General features: G+C 42.8%; 1 protein-coding gene and 1 long non-coding RNA gene across 11 annotated transcripts in view, besides 11 other annotated features; one reads left to right on the forward strand and one right to left on the reverse strand.

The window, feature by feature from the left end:
- The window catches only part of LOC124903379 (uncharacterized), a 32,650-nt gene extending 21,785 nt beyond the window's left edge, over positions 1–10,865 (reverse strand). Inside the window, exon 1 of the long non-coding RNA XR_007064329.1 lies at positions 9,951–10,865. This is a non-coding gene — a long non-coding RNA (uncharacterized LOC124903379). The remainder of the gene's footprint in view (positions 1–9,950) is intronic.
- The window catches only part of EVL (Enah/Vasp-like), a 172,815-nt gene that overhangs the window by 81,758 nt on the left and 74,503 nt on the right, over positions 1–16,554 (forward strand). For 3 of the 10 annotated variants that reach the window (XR_007064014.1, NM_016337.3, XM_047431463.1), the window contains exon 1: positions 12,243–12,332. The exons of 6 other annotated variants lie outside the window; for them this stretch is intronic. Coding sequence is in view for 2 of the 4 variants with exons in the window: in NM_016337.3 (NP_057421.1) it covers positions 12,322–12,332 (11 nt within the window). In the remaining 2 variants the exon portion in view is untranslated. Of the gene's footprint in view, positions 1–12,242; positions 13,309–16,554 lie in introns of those variants that run through there. One more of the 10 variants, XM_047431460.1, reaches the window with a different exon arrangement.
- Positions 11,717–11,766: an enhancer, noted in NCBI's record as "active region_9012". NCBI's record gives its function as "activates an Ori minimal core promoter by ATAC-STARR-seq in GM12878 lymphoblastoid cells {active_cell/tissue: GM12878}" and the evidence as "EXISTENCE:reporter gene assay evidence [ECO:0000049][PMID:35858748]".
- Positions 12,117–12,206: an enhancer, noted in NCBI's record as "active region_9013". NCBI's record gives its function as "activates an Ori minimal core promoter by ATAC-STARR-seq in GM12878 lymphoblastoid cells {active_cell/tissue: GM12878}" and the evidence as "EXISTENCE:reporter gene assay evidence [ECO:0000049][PMID:35858748]".
- Positions 12,257–12,336: an enhancer, noted in NCBI's record as "active region_9014". NCBI's record gives its function as "activates an Ori minimal core promoter by ATAC-STARR-seq in GM12878 lymphoblastoid cells {active_cell/tissue: GM12878}" and the evidence as "EXISTENCE:reporter gene assay evidence [ECO:0000049][PMID:35858748]".
- Positions 12,387–12,526: an enhancer, noted in NCBI's record as "active region_9015". NCBI's record gives its function as "activates an Ori minimal core promoter by ATAC-STARR-seq in GM12878 lymphoblastoid cells {active_cell/tissue: GM12878}" and the evidence as "EXISTENCE:reporter gene assay evidence [ECO:0000049][PMID:35858748]".
- Positions 12,907–12,986: an enhancer, noted in NCBI's record as "active region_9016". NCBI's record gives its function as "activates an Ori minimal core promoter by ATAC-STARR-seq in GM12878 lymphoblastoid cells {active_cell/tissue: GM12878}" and the evidence as "EXISTENCE:reporter gene assay evidence [ECO:0000049][PMID:35858748]".
- Positions 13,047–13,116: an enhancer, noted in NCBI's record as "active region_9017". NCBI's record gives its function as "activates an Ori minimal core promoter by ATAC-STARR-seq in GM12878 lymphoblastoid cells {active_cell/tissue: GM12878}" and the evidence as "EXISTENCE:reporter gene assay evidence [ECO:0000049][PMID:35858748]".
- Positions 14,549–14,618: an enhancer, noted in NCBI's record as "active region_9018". NCBI's record gives its function as "activates an Ori minimal core promoter by ATAC-STARR-seq in GM12878 lymphoblastoid cells {active_cell/tissue: GM12878}" and the evidence as "EXISTENCE:reporter gene assay evidence [ECO:0000049][PMID:35858748]".
- Positions 15,194–16,393: an enhancer, noted in NCBI's record as "MED14-independent group 3 enhancer chr14:100534710-100535909 (GRCh37/hg19 assembly coordinates)". NCBI's record gives its function as "activates an origin of replication core promoter dependent on BRD2, BRD4, P300/CBP and CDK7 cofactors, and independent of MED14, by STARR-seq in HCT116 cells {active_cell/tissue: HCT116}" and the evidence as "EXISTENCE:reporter gene assay evidence [ECO:0000049][PMID:35650434]".
- Positions 15,373–15,667: an enhancer, noted in NCBI's record as "tiled region #4628; K562 Activating DNase matched - State 5:Enh, and HepG2 Activating non-DNase unmatched - State 10:DNaseD". NCBI's record gives its function as "activates a minimal TATA promoter and a strong SV40 promoter by Sharpr-MPRA in K562 cells, with weak activation in HepG2 cells {active_cell/tissue: HepG2 | K562}" and the evidence as "EXISTENCE:reporter gene assay evidence [ECO:0000049][PMID:27701403]".
- Positions 15,749–15,838: an enhancer, noted in NCBI's record as "active region_9019". NCBI's record gives its function as "activates an Ori minimal core promoter by ATAC-STARR-seq in GM12878 lymphoblastoid cells {active_cell/tissue: GM12878}" and the evidence as "EXISTENCE:reporter gene assay evidence [ECO:0000049][PMID:35858748]".
- Positions 15,999–16,048: an enhancer, noted in NCBI's record as "active region_9020". NCBI's record gives its function as "activates an Ori minimal core promoter by ATAC-STARR-seq in GM12878 lymphoblastoid cells {active_cell/tissue: GM12878}" and the evidence as "EXISTENCE:reporter gene assay evidence [ECO:0000049][PMID:35858748]".

Below are 16,554 nucleotides of genomic sequence, written 5' to 3' on the forward strand. Positions count from 1 at the left end.
AGTCAGTCCATAGCAGTACACAAGCAAAAGAAAGATTAACATAATAATAGCTTTTAATTCTGCTGTCTTATTCTATATTTTCTATTTTTTATGCTTTTTCTCCTCGTTTTTTCTCATTTCGCCTTCTAATGGATATATTATATTTCTTCAGTTGGTTGGAAAACTATAGGTTCTATTTTTATTCTCCTCATGGCTACTCCTCCCTTAGTGTGACCCATGCTTATACGTATTTTTCTTTATCGTCGTTTTAAAATTTGTCAGTGTCTGCAGCTTCCTTGTCTTTAATATACTCTTACTGCCTTCTGTTCTTCATAGAGTAACACCCTATACGTATACAAAAGTTGTTGTGTCTGGAATTTTTGAGCAAAGTTATGGATATTTTATTTAAAAATAGTCATTGATTATCATTGATTACTCAAACATCATTAAACCTTAGGCAATAAGAAACTTTATGAGATTTTTGTTTTAATGTGAATGTACTAAACACCACTGAATTGCACACTGTAAAACTGTGACTTTGTAACCACCATCTTTATCTAGTTTTTATATATTTTTATTACCCAGGTTCAAGCTATTCCCCCACCTCAGCCTCCTGAGTAGCTGGGACTATAGGCACATGCTACTGCACCCAGCTAATTTTTGTATTTTTTGGTAAAGACAGGGTTTCACCATGTTGCCCAGGCTGGTCTCAAACTCCTGGGCTCAAGCAATCCTGCCTCAGCCTCCCAAAGTGTTGAGAATACAGGCGTGAGCCACTGTGCCCAGCCCCTCTTGCATAGTTCTTTTTATCACAAAAGGAAGTTCCGTATTAATTAGTCTCTTCCCTCACTCTGTATCAATCATATTTTTTGCATTTTATTATTTTTGGACTTTTTTTTTTTTTTTTTTTTTTTTGAGACAGAATCTCACTCTGTTGCCAGGCTGGAGTGCAGTGGCGTGATCCCAGATCACCGCAACATCTGCCTCCCAGGTTCAAGCGATTCTCCTGCCTCAGCCTCCCAAGTAGCTGGGATTATAGGCACGCGCCACCACACCCAGCTAATTTTTGTATTTTTAGCAGAGATGGGGTTTCACCATGTTGGCCAGGATGGTCTCGATCTTCTGACCTCATGATCTGCCCACTTTGGCCTCCCAAAGTGCTGGGAATACAGGCGTGAGCCAGCGTGCCCGGCTGACGTTTTGACATCTTTACGCGGCCATGTTGGCTGGGGAAGAGACTGCCCCTCCCAGGGTTAGCTAATTCCTAGAGACAGTAAGAAGCTTTTGTTGGTGAATCTGTCTTTCGTATACAAACCAACCAATTCTGAGTCCATACCCCAGCCACTTCCTTTATCTGATGCGCACACACCAAGCCAATATTTCCCCTGCTCTAAATCAACCCAGAACCAGGTCCCAGACAACTAGGGACACCTCCTAGGCCCCAAAGCCTGCTAGAATTATTCAGGTATAGCTTTTTCTAAGCCATTTATCGTGCCTGCCTTGCCTTCTCTGTGGAAGCCCCAGTAAGGGCTGTGGCCTGTGCCTTCCCCTGGCTCCTGTCCCCTTATTGACTCTGGTGCTTCCCCCGTGGCCCTGCATGTTGTGCTGTGCCTCTTATTTTGTGGGGGAACTGTGAATGACATTAAACTTTTCTTTCAATGGCACTGACCTCTTTGTGTCATTCTCAGTGACCTTTATAAATTAACACCCAGGCACACATCCCCTGTCAACCAGCCTGTGACAACCACTAATCTGTGTCCTGGCCGGGCATGGTGGCTCATGTCTGTAATCCCAGCACTTTGGGAGGCCAAGGTGGGCAGATCACCTGAGGTCAGGAGTCAAGACCAGCCTGACCAAAATGGTGAAACCCCGTCTCTACTGAAAATACGAATTAGCTGGGCATTGTGGTGCATGCCTGTAATCCTAGCTACTTGGGAGGCCGAGGCAGGAGAATTGCTTGAACCTGGGAGGGGGAGGTTGCCGTGAGCTGAGATCGCACCATTGCACTCCAGCCTGGGCGACAAGGGTGAGACTCCTTAAAAAAAAAAAAAAAAATCTGTGTCCTCTCTCTTTAAATCTGCCTATTCTGAGTATCATATAAATGTAATCATATAATATGTGGCCTTTCGTGTCTTGCCTTTTTCTCTGCGCATAATGTTTTCTAAGTTCTGTCTATTGTACCATGTGTCAGTACCTCATTCCCTCTTCATGGCTTAAAAGTATTCAGTTGGATGCTCCCACTTGCCATACCCTGCTATTTATTCCTAGGAGCAAATTTTCTTTTTGCTAGAATATATACAGTAACATTTTTCCAAAGAAGGTCTGTATCTGGAAAACTTTCTGAAATCTTGTATACCTAAAAATATATTTCTTTCTTCCTTACATGTATATGATAGTTTAGATTGGTATAGACTGAAAAGTAAGGTTCAAAAATTTGTTTTCTCCAGCATTCTGAAGATAATATCTCATTGTTTTACCCTAGCTGAGGTGTAGAAGTCTGGTCTGATTTTTGTTCCTTTGTAGGTGACTTGGTTTTATGTGGAAAGCTTTTAGAATTGTCTGTCTCTGCTGTACTTAGATATCGTAATCAGTGTTTGTGTCTGTATGTGTGCATGTGCACACTTACGTTGTTGTCTTTTTTCTTTTTTCTTTTTCTTTCTCTTTTTCTTTTGGAGACGGAGTCTTGCTCTGTCACCAGACTGGAGTGCAATGGCTCGATCTCGGCTCACCACAACCTCTGCCTCCTGGGTTCAAGCCATTCTCCTGTCTCAGCATCCCGAGTAGCTGGGATTACAGGTGCATGCCACCACACCCTGCTAATTTTTGTATTTTTAGTAGAGACAAGGTTTCACCATGTTGGCCGGGCTGGTCTCGAACTCCTGACCTCACGATCCGCCCACCTCGGCCTCCCAAAGTGCTGGGATTACAGGCGTGAGCCACCGCGCCTGGCCCACGTTGTTTTCGTATCAGTTCTGTTTGGAACGCTGTTGACCCTTTCAGTCTTGAGCTCTTACATCTTTCTTGAATTCTATAAAATTATCTGTCATTTCATCTTTTTTTTAATTTTTTTTTTGCTTCTGAGATGCCTTTTACTTCTGTAGTCCCTGTCCCTTTTTCCCTACCTGATGTTTTTGGGTCAACTCTTTGACCCTATTCTAAGTTTCTCATCTTTGCCTCTTCTGCTGAGCATACTTACTGAGTTCTCTATTTCAGCAATTATATTTTTATACTAAAAAAAAAATTGCTTGGTTGTTCTTCCTTATGGCTTACTCTCACTTAATGTTTTAAGTATCTTCCCTTGTGTCTCCAAAGACATTTATTATACCTATTGGATTTTTAAATTCTGTTTCCCATGGTAGAGGTTGCTTCATTTGTTATCTGTCTTTTAAGTTTTTCTTTTATGCTACTTGCATTTCTCAGAGATGTTATAATTTCCTCCTGGAAATTAGTAATGATGTCCGTAGAATATTCAGTTGCCTTGGCTAGCACATGTGGTCTACTTCTGCTGCGGATGAGTTTAACCAGGAGTGTGGTTGGAAGGGAGTACCTCAGGGCAGGGTGGCCTGATATTGGAGGCTAGACTCAGCAAACTCTAAGCTTGAAAAAACGAGGCCCTATCTGTCCCCTTTTCATATCACTAGTAATTTGTGCACTTCTTGAGTCCCAGTCCTTTCAGGCAAAATAGCTTAACAAAGATTCTGAACACACACCATGTACCAAGAATTGGGCTGCCCACAATTGATTATAAAAGATGAATAAAAAATGATAGTCCCTTCCTAAAGGGTAATGCTCTGTGACCACTAAATAGATAAAATTTCAAAATACAGAAGTAGCACAGCAGCAGGAATAATTTTCTCTATCCTGGGGGCTCAGTAAACACTTCATTAAAGAAGATACAGGCAAATTGGATCTTGAAGGACAAACCCAAGTTTGCCTGTAGATGGGGTAAGAGGTTGTTTCAGGAGGTGAGGACAACTGTGTTTACAAGGCACAGGAGCCTGAACCACCAGGGCATGTGCTAGAAACTAGATTTCCCACTCCCAGGAGTCCAGTGGTGGGATTTTTACCTTTCCCCTTTACTTCTCCCTTTATATGATGAAAGATGTATATGGAGAAAGATTATATGTAGCATAGTGTCCTCATGAACACCAAGTCCACGGAAGTCTAAGGTCACAGATATCGGTGAAGAGCCATATTACAGTCCCCCTAAGAGACTGCTCAGCTGACATCGGGGTTTCTTTATTTGGCCATTCACACTTTCTTTCCAGATGCTGTAACTCTGGAAATAAAACATTTTCTGAGGACAAGTCTCAGATCATCAGAAAAATGATTTGGAGTTTGTTTTTTTTTTAATCTGAGTTTGTTGTTCTTCATGTCTTCCCTCTGGTATAAGAAACAGTTGGACTTCACAGAGCAGGCAGGCTTAGGCAGGCCCTATCAGCAAGAGCTGGAACTGAACTGTGAGTGAACTGGAAAGGAAAAGGCAACTTTTAGCGTCTTGTGGCTGGCTGAGCTATTTTAGTGTAAACTTTTTAAAGAAATGTCTCTCAGGCAAAGTGGTTGAGAATACCAGAATCTCTGGCAGATCCAATTTCCATTTTGGTTTTTGGAGCCATAGTTGAGGTTCTAGGAGTCAAATAATGATAGCACATATAAAATATTATATTTAAAAAGCCTAATGCAGCATTGTTAATAGGATTTCATAATGTGTTAGAGACTGTAACTAATTTTGGGTAGCCATTTCTCTGTCCTCCTTTTCTCTACTCCCAGGACACAAGGGCTTTGTACTCAAAACACCCTGCCTTCTTAACACAAATTCTCATGAAATGTCATTATTATACAAACATAATTCATTTCTTGTTAGTGAAAGACCCTTTCATTCACAAACATCCCAATGAGAAAGAAAGAGAAGTGAGGTTAGTCTGTTTACAGAAAAGAAAACTAAAATCCACAGAAGAAAGTTGACTTTCCCAAGTCACCACAGCAAGTTTTTGAACTAGATCTCCTAAGTAGAGTGTCTTCTAGTATAGCTCTGTGATTTATTTTCAGCCCACTCTGCCTTCTCTTGGAGTCTGGACACATGGAAAGCACATCTTTTAATTCAAGTCAACACAGTTGTTGTTTATTGAGCATTTACTGTTTTCAAAATCCAAAGCCAAATGCCTTAGGATTTAATATCAGTATCCTGTGTGAGTGTTGATGCCCGTCTTCCTCATTCATTCATTCATTCATGTATTCATCTATGCATAGTTATTCATATGATCACCACTTACACTGTACCTACTACCTAAGCAGTATACCAGGTGCTGAGCGCAATTCATGGTTTCACATTATAAGATGCTACCTCAAACAGGATACGTTTCTTAACTTGCTCACTAAATTGCGTCACAAGTGCCAACAGTTCCTATTCTATCTTTCCAACATTTTCTATTGCCCTGACATGAACGATTTAGGAATTGGTACCACTCCTGCAGTACATGGTTATTTATAAGATCATTTTTTTTTTCATCGGACCTGGAGACACCAGGGTCAAAGTAGAGACCTGAATGCCCAGGAACATACAGCATGTCAATAACAAAGCAAGGGTTGGAATCCCTATCTCATAGCACCCTACTCAGAAAGCTTGCCACATTTTTTGCTTCTTTTCATAATTCTTCTCAAGTGCTTCATTAAAGCTAGATGATAGAGTTAAAATAGTACTCTATTTTATCTACGTACGTGTAATTGGAGTGCCAAAAGGTTCACTCTTACCTGTTACCTACCTAGTGAAACTGATAAAAGACAGTAGTAACGTGTGAAGGACAGAGGAAATGAGGGGTGAAACTGAAAGGCACTTCTCACAGAAAAGATGTTTACTCTTAGGCTAGCATCTTCAGAAAATGAAAAAGAATACCCTTTGGTAGTTTAATAATCATATTTGACTTCTGCCTCTGGCCATGGCAGAATAATGGTAATGACTTGCTCTCTTGACAAAAGCAACTATGAAACTGTGTAAAATATGTGAAGCAACTGAATATACAAAGGGTACTGAGACTCATAGAAGATATTAAATCCCTGCCATTTTCAGACATTGGACAGATAAGATAGGACTTTGATTCTTGAGAGAAGAAACACCATGAGAAGCCCCTGGCTTTCTGCCTGCAGTCACTATCTAGTCTTGGCATGGAGTGGTGGAGCCCAAATGGAAAGGTGATTTTAGTCAGCTCAGTGGGCAGAAATTAGAATTCTACGCCACTGAAATAGTTGGACTTTGCAGGGCAAGGAACTAGAGAAATGGAAGCCCTGTGACAGGGCAAAGACAGCAGAGTTCTGTGTAAGGATTCTATTTGGATTGTTGGCTGAGGGCTGGGTGTGCATGTACAGAGTGAGATTCTTCATGAGGCCTGGCAGAGATCGCCTGCTGTAGGGCTGAGAGCTGAATGATGATGCCAGAGGTCATTCAGTTCTGGGAGATGTTGCAGATCCGGCTTAACCTGAATGAAGAAACCGCCCAGAACACCTCAGGCATTCAGTTGAGATCCCAGAACTGTCACACTTTAGGAGTAGGACTGTGCTCTTGAGTCAGATGGGGGGGTGGTTGCAGAGGAGGGGGATACCCTAGGGCTAAGTTCAAAATGGAAATAGAACTGAAGAAAGGTTTGAACCAAGCTTGGTAGCACCAAAAGGATCTGCCAGTAATTTCCCTGACTACCAGAACAGACTTCACATCTTTAAAGAAAGATAGCATAATCCAGACTTTCTGCAATGTATCATACAGTATCTAACATACAATCATAAGTTAGTAGACATATAGAGTCAGAAAATATGACATATACTTAAGGGGAAAAAAGCAGTCAGTAGACCCTGAAATGCTCCTGAAGTTGAAACGAGCAGGCAAGTTCTTCAAATTACCCATAATAAATATGTTCACAGACTTTAAGTAAAAGGTGGATAAAGTGAACAAACAGGAAATCCCAAAGGAGAAATGGAAATTATAAAAAACTTGCCCAGTGCCGGGCGCGGTGGCTCACGCCTGTAATCCCAGCACTTTGGGAGGCCGAGGCGGGCGGATCACGAGGTCAGGAGATCGAGACCATCCTGGCTAACACAGTGAAACCCCGTCTCTACTAAAAAATACAAAAAATTAGCCGGGCGTGGTGGCGGGCGCCTGTAGTCCCAGCTACGCGGGAGGCTGAGGCAGGAGAATGGCGTGAACCCGGGAGGCGGAGCTTGCAGTGAGCCGAGATCGCGCCACTGCACTCCAGCCTGGGCGACAGAGCGAGACTCCGTCTCAAAAAAAAAAAAAAAAAACTTGCCCAGTGAAAATTCTACTACTGGAAATGAAATGAAAAATTTACTGGATGAGACTAAAAGTGGATCAGAGATCCAGAAGAAAGGGTAGTGGACTTGGAGACAGATCAATAGATATCTAATCTGAAAAATGGGAAAATATTTTAAAAAGAATTACCAGTGCCTTGTGATAATATCAGGAGGTCTACATACGTGTAATTGGAGTGCCAGAGGAAGAGGAGAAAGAGAATGAGGCAGAAGAAAAATAATTGAGGAAATAATGACCAGAATTTCCCAAATTTGGTGAAAAGCCTTAAATTACATACCTAAGAATCTCAGTGAAACCCTAGCAAAATGAATGCAAAAAGAACCACACCTAAACCCATCAAAGTCACACTGCTGAAAACGAAAGAAAAAGAAAATATTAAAAATGACCAAAGGAAAAGGGATCCATTGCATACATTATATGTGAATGATGGCTGACTTCTCAGAAACCATGGAGGCCAGAAGACAATGAAACAATACCTTTAAAGTGCTGAAAGACAAAAAAAAAAAAAAAACCTCAGTATTCTCTATTCACAAAAAGTGCTTTGAAGCTTGAAGACAAAGATGTTTTTCAGATAAAAGAAAACTAAGAGAATGTATTGCCAACTTACCTGTTGTACAGAAAATCCTAAAGGAGGCCAGGCATGGTGGCTCACGCCTGTAATCCCAGCCCTTTCGGAGGCTGAGGTGGACGGATCCCTTGAGACCAGGAGTTTGAGACCAGCCAGGGCAACATGTTGAAACCCTTCTCTACAAAAAATACAAAAATTACAAAATACAAAAAATACAAAAATACACCAGACATGGTGGCACATGTCCTTAGTCCCAGCTACTCAGAAGGCTGAGGCAGGAGGATCATTTGAGCCTGGGAGGCAGAGGTTGCAGTGAGCTGAGATCACCCAGCTTGGGTGACAGAGCAAGACCCTGTCTCAAAAAAAAAAAAAAAAAAAAAAAAAAAAGAAATGCTAAAGGAAGTTCCTCAGGCTGCAAAAAAAAAAAAAAAAAAAAAGATACCAGGAAATTCAAGTGCTCGGGGATGGATAAAGATTACCAGAAAAGAGAAATATATGAGTAAACCTAAAGACTTTTATTTCTTCAATACACGCACACACGCACATGACTTGAACAATCCCGGGGTTAGGGTACTGGCCCCTCGAACAGTTGAAAATCCACCTAAACTTTTGCATCCCCCAAAATTTTAGCTATTAAGAGCCTGTTGTTGACAGGAAGCCCTACCAATAACATAAGCAGTTGGTTAATACATACTTTGTATATTATGTGTATTATACACTGTATTCTTATAATTAAGCTAGAGAAAAAATTTTATTAAAATCATAGGTGAAAATATGTTTTCATTAGTTTCACTAGTCATTAATTGGAAATGGATTATCTTAAAGTTCTTCATCCTTGTCATCTTCACATTGAATAGGCTGAGGAGCAAGAGGAAAAGGAGGGGTTGGTCTTGCTGTCTCGGGGTGGCAGAGGTAAAAGAAATTCCATGTGCAAGTGGACCTGGGTCAGGCATGGTGGTAGCTCATGCCTGTAGTCCTAGCACTTTGGGAGGCTGAGATGGGAGGATTGCTTGAGCCCAGGAAGTTGAGGCTGCAGTGAGCTGTAATCATACCACTGTACGCCGGCCTACGCAACAGAGTGAGACCACATCTCAAAAAAAGAAATAGTAGTATAATGGACCTGTGAAGGTCAAACCTGTGCTGTTCAAGAGTCAGCTGTGTGTATATATATATATATGTATATATATATATATGACTGTCCAAAACAAAAATATGTAACATTGTATTTTGAGTAACATATGACAGCTACACCATAAAGGATGGGAATGGAGAATGAAATTATGCAATTATGAAGTTCTTAACATTTTACTGAAGTGGTACAATATTAACTCTAAGTGTACCCTACAAAGTTAAGAATGTATATTGTAATCCCTAGAAAGACCTCTAAAAAAAAAAGAGGTATAGCTAAAAAGTCAATAGAGAAATTCAAATGGAATTCTGAAAAGTATTTAGTTTACCCACAAGAATACAGGAAACGAAGAACAGAGGAACCAGAAACAGATGAGACAAACAGAAAACAAATAGCAAAGTAGTAGACCTGTATCCATCTACATCAATAAACTAAATGTAAATAGACTAAATACCCCAATTAAAAGATAGAAATTGTCAGACTGGGTGAAAATGCAAGACTCAGTCATACACTACCTATAGGACATACTTTAAATACAAAGATACAAATCGACTGAAAGTGAAAGGATGGGTAGTAGGCAGAGTAATGCCATCACCCCGCCGTAATCCCTAGAACCTGTGACTGTGTGACTTTACATGGGATGGGCATGGTGACTCATGCCTGTAATCCTAGCACTTTGGGGGCCAAGGCAGGAGGATCACTTGAGGCCAGGAGTTTGAGATCAGCCTCGGAAACATAGCAAGACCCCATCTCTATTTAAAAAACTGTTTTCAAATTAGCCAGGCATGATGGTGTGTGCCTATAGTCCTAACTACTCAGGAAGCTGAGGTAAGGAGGATCACTTGAGCCAGGAGTTTGAGGCTGCAGTGAACTATGATCACACCACTGCATTTCAGCCTGGGTGACAGCAAGAGACCCTGCCTCTAAAAAAGTAAATAAATAAAATGTTACCTTACATGGCAAAAAGGACTCTGCAGACGTGATTAAAGTTGTGGACCTTGAGATGGAGCGGTTATCTTGGATTATCCATTGGGTCCAGTCTAATCACACGAGTCCTTAAAAGTAGAGAACCTGTCCACACCGCGGTCAGAAAGAGATGTCACTGTGGAAGAAGGGTCGGAGCACTGCTGCGTGCTTTGAAAGTGGACAGAGGGGCTATGAGAAAGCAATGCAGTCAGTGTCCAGAAGCTGAGAGAGGTGAGCAAGAGAGACCTATGTGGAACTTCTGATGATGTTGGGCTTCTGACCTCCTATCATCTTACAAAACTCTAAGATAATAAGTGTGTGTTGTTATAAGCCACTCAGTTTGTGGTAATTTGTTACAGCAGCCGCAGAAAACCAATGCTGCATGGAAAAATGTACCTAACAAGAGCTTCAAGAAATAGTGACAGAATTAAAGAGGGAAATCCACAGTCACAGTTGAAGATTTCAGGACCTTTCCCTCAGCAGTTGATAGAATAATTAGACAAAAACAAACAACAGCAACAAAAAGTAACAAGGACGTAGACGTTCTGAACAATACTATTAACCACCATGACCTAATTGACATTCTAGAACACTGCACCCGACCAGTTTCAGAATACACATTCTTTCCTTGTGCATATGCTACATCCGCCAAGGTAGACTGCATGCTGGGCCATAACGCACATTTTGATAAATGTGAAAGGATTGAGATCATACCAGGAAAAACAAAGGAAGAAGTCACACCAAATATGTTCTCTGGCCCCAGTAGAATTAAATTGGAAATAGGTAGCAACAGATATAGGAAAACACCAAATATTTCAAAATTTAACGAAGCACTTATCAATAATCCATGGATAAAAGAAGAAATCACTAGAGAAAATTAAAAATATTTTGAACCAAAAGAAAAAAGAAAACTGCAATACATCCAAACTGTGGTTTGCAACTAAAACAGTGCTTAAAGGGAAATGTATATCATTAAAAGCCTTTTAAAATGCATTTTTAGCATTCAAAGTGCATTCATCTCTCCAATTAGAACTGATACTTCTTTTGTACTGTACTCTGTACAGCTGTTTTTCACTATATCAATAATATTTTAATGGATCTATTAAATATTTGCTAACATTATCAACCTCTTCTTTTCTAAACCATAAAAGTCCTTTAAGGACAAGTACAGTCGTTCTCAATTTTTTGTCTGTGATTTCTAACACAGTGCATGCTTCTTAGTGAGTTCTCAGTAGATTTTGAAAGAAAGATTGGACTGGATCTTACCTTCATGAGAACCCTGTGGAGATAGGCAAAATAAGTATAACCCCATTTTACAGTTGAGGCCACCCACTTAATAAACAAGTGACAAAGCCAAGTTTCCAGTATTCCTCAAGTGTTTTCCTTTCAGGCTCTAAATTGCTGACTTAAATGTCATCATTAGAGAGAGTTGTCTCCTCGGTAGAAGTACAAATTTTGTTCCAGAGTCAAATATGAAGACTTGATCAGTGGCCTGGCGCGGTGGCTCACGCCTGTAATCTCAGCACTTTGGGAGGCCAAGGCAGGCGGATCACCTGAGGTCGGGAGTTCGTGACCAGCCTGACCAACATGGAGAAACCCCGTCTCTACTAAAAATACAAAATTAGCTGGGCATGGTGGCACATGCCTATAATCCCAGCTACTCAGGAGGCTGAGGCAGGAGAATCGCTTGAACCCAGGAAGCTGTGGTGGCGGTGAGCCAAGATCGTGCCATTGCACTCCAGCCTGGGTGACAGGAGTGTGAAACTCTGTCTCAAAAAAGAAAAAAAGACTTGATCAGCTTATAGCCTTTATCATCTAGTCTTCTATTCTCTGGAGAGTCAGTGGGGACTCTTCCGAGTTCTTGTAGCCTTTTCTTAAGGCCTATAGGAAGTCATCTGTGCTGAGCCTGCACTTTCTATAACAGATGGAAAACTGAAGCTCAGACATCTTAAGTGGCATTGACTTAGACTATAGAGCTAGTTAGTGGGGGGCCAGCACCATGACCTGGCCCCTACCTCCAGCAGGCTTCACCCACCCTTGCACCCTTGCAGGAAGCACTTAGAGGCTTGAGGTTGCCAGCTGTGGGGGGTTGGGCCTGTGCAGTGCCTCTCAGCCGCCCACGCTGGTGGGGCTCTGCAGTGTTAGCTTCTTGTTTCTCTATTTTCTACCTAGGTTTCAGTTTTTCACTTGGGTTTGTTTCCCCTTTGTCTCTGGTTCAGCTTCCTTTTCCTGTTTGGTTTTAAGTAGGCTATAAAAATCAAGTTGCTGTCTTCAGAGGGTCTGTGGTCCTCTGATCAACATAGGCTGGTGGGAGTACAGGACTCGCCTCCTCAGGGTTCCCTGTGCTGCCACTTTTCAGCCATGGCCACAAGGTGAGTATTGGAACCAGTGCAGGGGACAGAGGGATGTCAAGAGGAAACCTAGAATCTTAACGGTGAATGGGCTGTAGAAATTATCTCAGGTCCCCTTAGTATACTGATCGAGAAGTCCATGACCAGAGGGCAGGGGGCTTACATGAGGTTACACAGCAGGTTAGTGACAGTCTGCTCCCTCTCTAGCCGCTGGTCTTTCCATTACACAGGCCTGTGTCTCTTGATGCCTGTGACCTTTAATGGCTTCTGAGTCAAGGACTTACTTAGAAATTAGCACCTGCCTCTCATTATAGGGAGGAGGGTCTGAGCCATCTAGGGGAATTGTTGTTTAGCTCAGAGGTACATTTGGTGAGTCCTGGCCCTTCTCTCTAGAATGACCCGAGACTGGTTGTTTTTTCTAAATATAGGCAGAGAGGGTTCTTTTTATGATAGGAACTTCATGAACTTAATAGCAAGAGTCCTGACCCTCCACTTGAGAGACTTGTGGACTTAGGCTATTGCTGTTGAGCACATGTGTGAATACCAGCCAGTCTACAAACCGCACTCCTCATTGAGATTGTTCTCTCTAAAGGTGAGATTACATTTTGGACCTGCCTCTCCCCTGCCCTACAACTCTGAAAGATTATAGATGATAGGACAGACAGACTTTTATCCTGTGGGGTTTGGGGCATTTGTTTGATTGACTCATGACAGCTTTGTTTTTTAGCATAAAGTAACAATCCCTCACTTTGAAAATTATTTCACAATTTCCAAAGTGCCATTTCGCCAGTTTTCTTATTTGAATCTTTTAGCCGTGTTAGATTGATGAGAACGCTGTCATCACTCCTGTTTCGTAGCTGAGAAAACCTCTGAAAAGTTGTGGGGTTTGTCCAAGGTCACATGGCAGGTTGGGGAAGGAATGGAACCAGGGTTTAACGAGGTTGGCCTCATCCGGTGGTTTTCGCAGCACGCTACACAGGCACAGAAGCAGCTTGCAGTGAGTTGTTAAAATTGACGTGGTGATAGGTAGAACTTGTCCAGGGCTGCTTATTTTCCAGTTGGCTTTATTTCTGATCCTGTCATTTTAGTAACTTTCCTTTAACTTTAGAGGACTCGTGAGTGGAGCTTTAGAAAACAGAATGCTTTTCATTTCAAAGGCATATCAACTTCCAAAGTCATTTTCAGTTGTAAATTACATTGTGAAAACTTCTAGCAGCTTATTCTACCGTGTCAATTACTAATTGCAGAAAATTATATCAAAAGTAAATGAGGCACAGCAATTTCTTTTTCAATTTTAAAATCGTAGAAATCCTAGAAATTTCCATCTTGAAAAGACCTTGGAGGTGATCTACAGTAGATAAGATGTTTTGGGCACCTTATTCTCCACTTCAGCCAAAATAACTCTGCTTTTATGTTTTCTATGTATTCCTTGATAATTCATTGAGAAAAAACAGTCATTGTTGGTGGTGGTGATGACTTTCAAGTCTGAAGATTACACTAATCTAGCCCAGCTCTTGAGTGCGCAGATCAGGAAATTGAGGCCCAGTGTGGAGCAGAATTTGTGTACGGGGAGCGGAGTAGTGGCTGAACCAAAGCAAAAGCCCAGGTTTTCTGGTGCGTCCCTCCCCCGTACAAGGCTGCTTGCACTCTGCCACAGGTCCCTGGCCTGGCACCATAGTGACAGTCCTGGTGGAAGCAGCGTTCGTGGAGCTGCAAGGTCAGCAGCCATAGGAGCTGTGAACTTTTCGTTTTTCCTCATGCTGACTGACACATGGGGATACCGTGGCGCCTGTGGTGGGGATACAAAGGACCTTTTAAATGTGAAAATATATCTTACCAGCTCTAGCTCTGGCTACCCACCAATCAAGAAACAGTTTCCAAGCCCTGACTGGATTAGGAGCTGGGAATTCTCTTGAGTGCATGACAACGTACAGAATGCTTTCACTGACGTTATTTAGTTATCGCAATAATCCTGAAGGTAGTGTTGTGGGGCGTTTTTGTTTTTGTATTTTTTAGAGATGAGGTCTTGCTTTATTGCCCAGGCTGGCCTCAAACTCCCGGGCTCGAGCAAGCCTCCTGCCTCAGCGGGACTACAGGTGTGGGCCACCACACCCAGCTAGCATTGTTTTTATTGTTTCTGTTTCACAGGAGAGAGTAACTTGACAAGAGACATAGCCAGTGAGTGATAGACCCAGGACTTGAACCTGTGCCTCCTGACCACAGATGCTTTGCCCTTTTGCTCTTACGCCTGAATTAGAGCTGCCTCTGTCCTCAGGGACTGGTAGGGAGTGAGGAAGACAGCACTCACAGAAATGAGGAGGCGACTGGCTGTGAGGACCCTGCAGCACAGAGAGTAATAAGCATAGACAGGAGGGGCAGTAAGAGTTGAGAAGTTGGGGACTGTCAGGGAAGACCTCAAAGAGAAAGTGGGATCTCAGGTGAACTTTGAAGAATAGGGATGATTTTTTAGAAGGCACTGGCAGGCATCACAGGCAACCAGTCACCCAGCGGCTGCTCTGGGTGCTAGGGACACAGTGGTAAACAAGACAGGCAGTCTTGTCCTCAAACTGAGGGCAGAGTCGGGAGGCAGAATATAGTCAAGAAACCATCAACAAGAGACGTGAAAACAATAGAGCAGTGTGGTAGAGAGTGACTGGGCCACGCCTTAGGGGACATGTGGGGACATGAGGCAGCCATGCTAAAATCTGAAGGTTTTGGGGTGGAAAGGGCAGCAAGTATCCTCAGCTGGGGACGAGGCCCTGAGATAGGAATGGTTTGGTGGGTTCAAGGGTCAAGAAAAATACAGAGGCTGGAGCAACATGAAGAAGGAAGAGTGAAGGCAAATAAGGGCACAGAAGGCTTTATCAGGCCCAACGGCAAAGCCTGCGAGCTGTGCTGAATTTAGCGCGTATGTCAGAATTTAGTTAGGGGAAGCCTTTGGAGGGAGGGTTTGAAGCAAAGGGAAAGACATCTCATAGAAGCTTAAGAAAATCACTCTGGGCCCTGTGTGGATAATGGCTGGCAGTGTGGCAAGAATGGAGGCAGGATGACCTCTTGGGAGGCTACCGCAGTCATCCAGGTAAGAGGTGAGGGTGGTTTGGGCCAGCAGTGGAGCAGTCAGGGTAGGCGGTGAGAAGTCACCAGATTCAGGAAGTGCCGTGGTGCTGTAGCCTCCAGGACTATCTGGTGGATCACACATGGGCGTGGGGGAAACATGAGTCAGACATGGCTTAGGTGGGTGGTGATTCCTTTCACCACGCTGGGGCAGCTGGGGTGCTAGCTGGAAGAATCTGTAGAGGTGTGGGCCTAGCAGCACAGGTTCCCAGGAAATGTGGGTTGAACAAGGCTGACCTGAGCAGGAAGTAGCTGAGGTCGCGGTGCAGCAGCAGGAAACGTGATATGGATGTGTGATATGTCTGCCACTTTTGGGGCCAGCCAGTTAATTTCGTTTCCTTCCCTGGTCTCTCTGTTGTCTTTGGTAGGCTGTGGGTTTTTCCGAAGCACGTACTATCTTCTAACGTATTATAGAACTTACTTGTTCTACTGTATACTGTCTTTACCCCTCAAGAATGTAAACTCCCAGAAGGCAGGGATTTTCGCCTATTTTGTTCAGTGGTGTATCCCCAGTGCCTAAAACATTGCCTGGCAATACACATTTATTGAACTGCTGGATTTAATTAACTACTTTGATATATGGTCCTAAAGATTCCTGTGCTACCAAAGTTGCTACTCAGTGGAGCTTCCTGGTGTGGCATGTTAGAGAAGAGACCAGAAAAACAGACATTTCACTTGCTGTCAGGTAGTGAAGGAGCTGTGGCTGCTTGGGCACAGTCATTACTGTTTATTCCACTGTGCTGCACATCTTGAAGCTGTAAAGATATAAGAAGTCTCGCACAGCCGGGGTTCAGCTTACAATCCTTCGCACCTAATTGTACGCCTTTGTGTGAGGGTTTGGAGGAGTCTCCAGGAACACCTGGTGTTTCCTTTCTCACAGGTATTTCCAGTCCTCACGGGCAAGTCAGAGAGTCCCAGAGGCAATTGAACAAGCCCTCAGAGATCACGTAGTCCGTTCACTCTCCATGGGAACCCGCACTTCCCTAGAGACCTGTAGCCAAATCATTTGGAGAGCTTCTGAAGCTTCTCTGCCTTCCTCTGTCTCAAAGAATCCCATGTGCCTCTAGTTGAGAAACATTCCTCTGGAGATTCTAGGTTATTCTCATGAGAATGTTACGATACTCAGGTG

Source organism: Homo sapiens, chromosome 14 (genome assembly GCF_000001405.40).
Source record: "Homo sapiens chromosome 14, GRCh38.p14 Primary Assembly".
In the NCBI taxonomy this organism is placed as follows: Eukaryota; Metazoa; Chordata; class Mammalia; order Primates; family Hominidae; genus Homo; species Homo sapiens.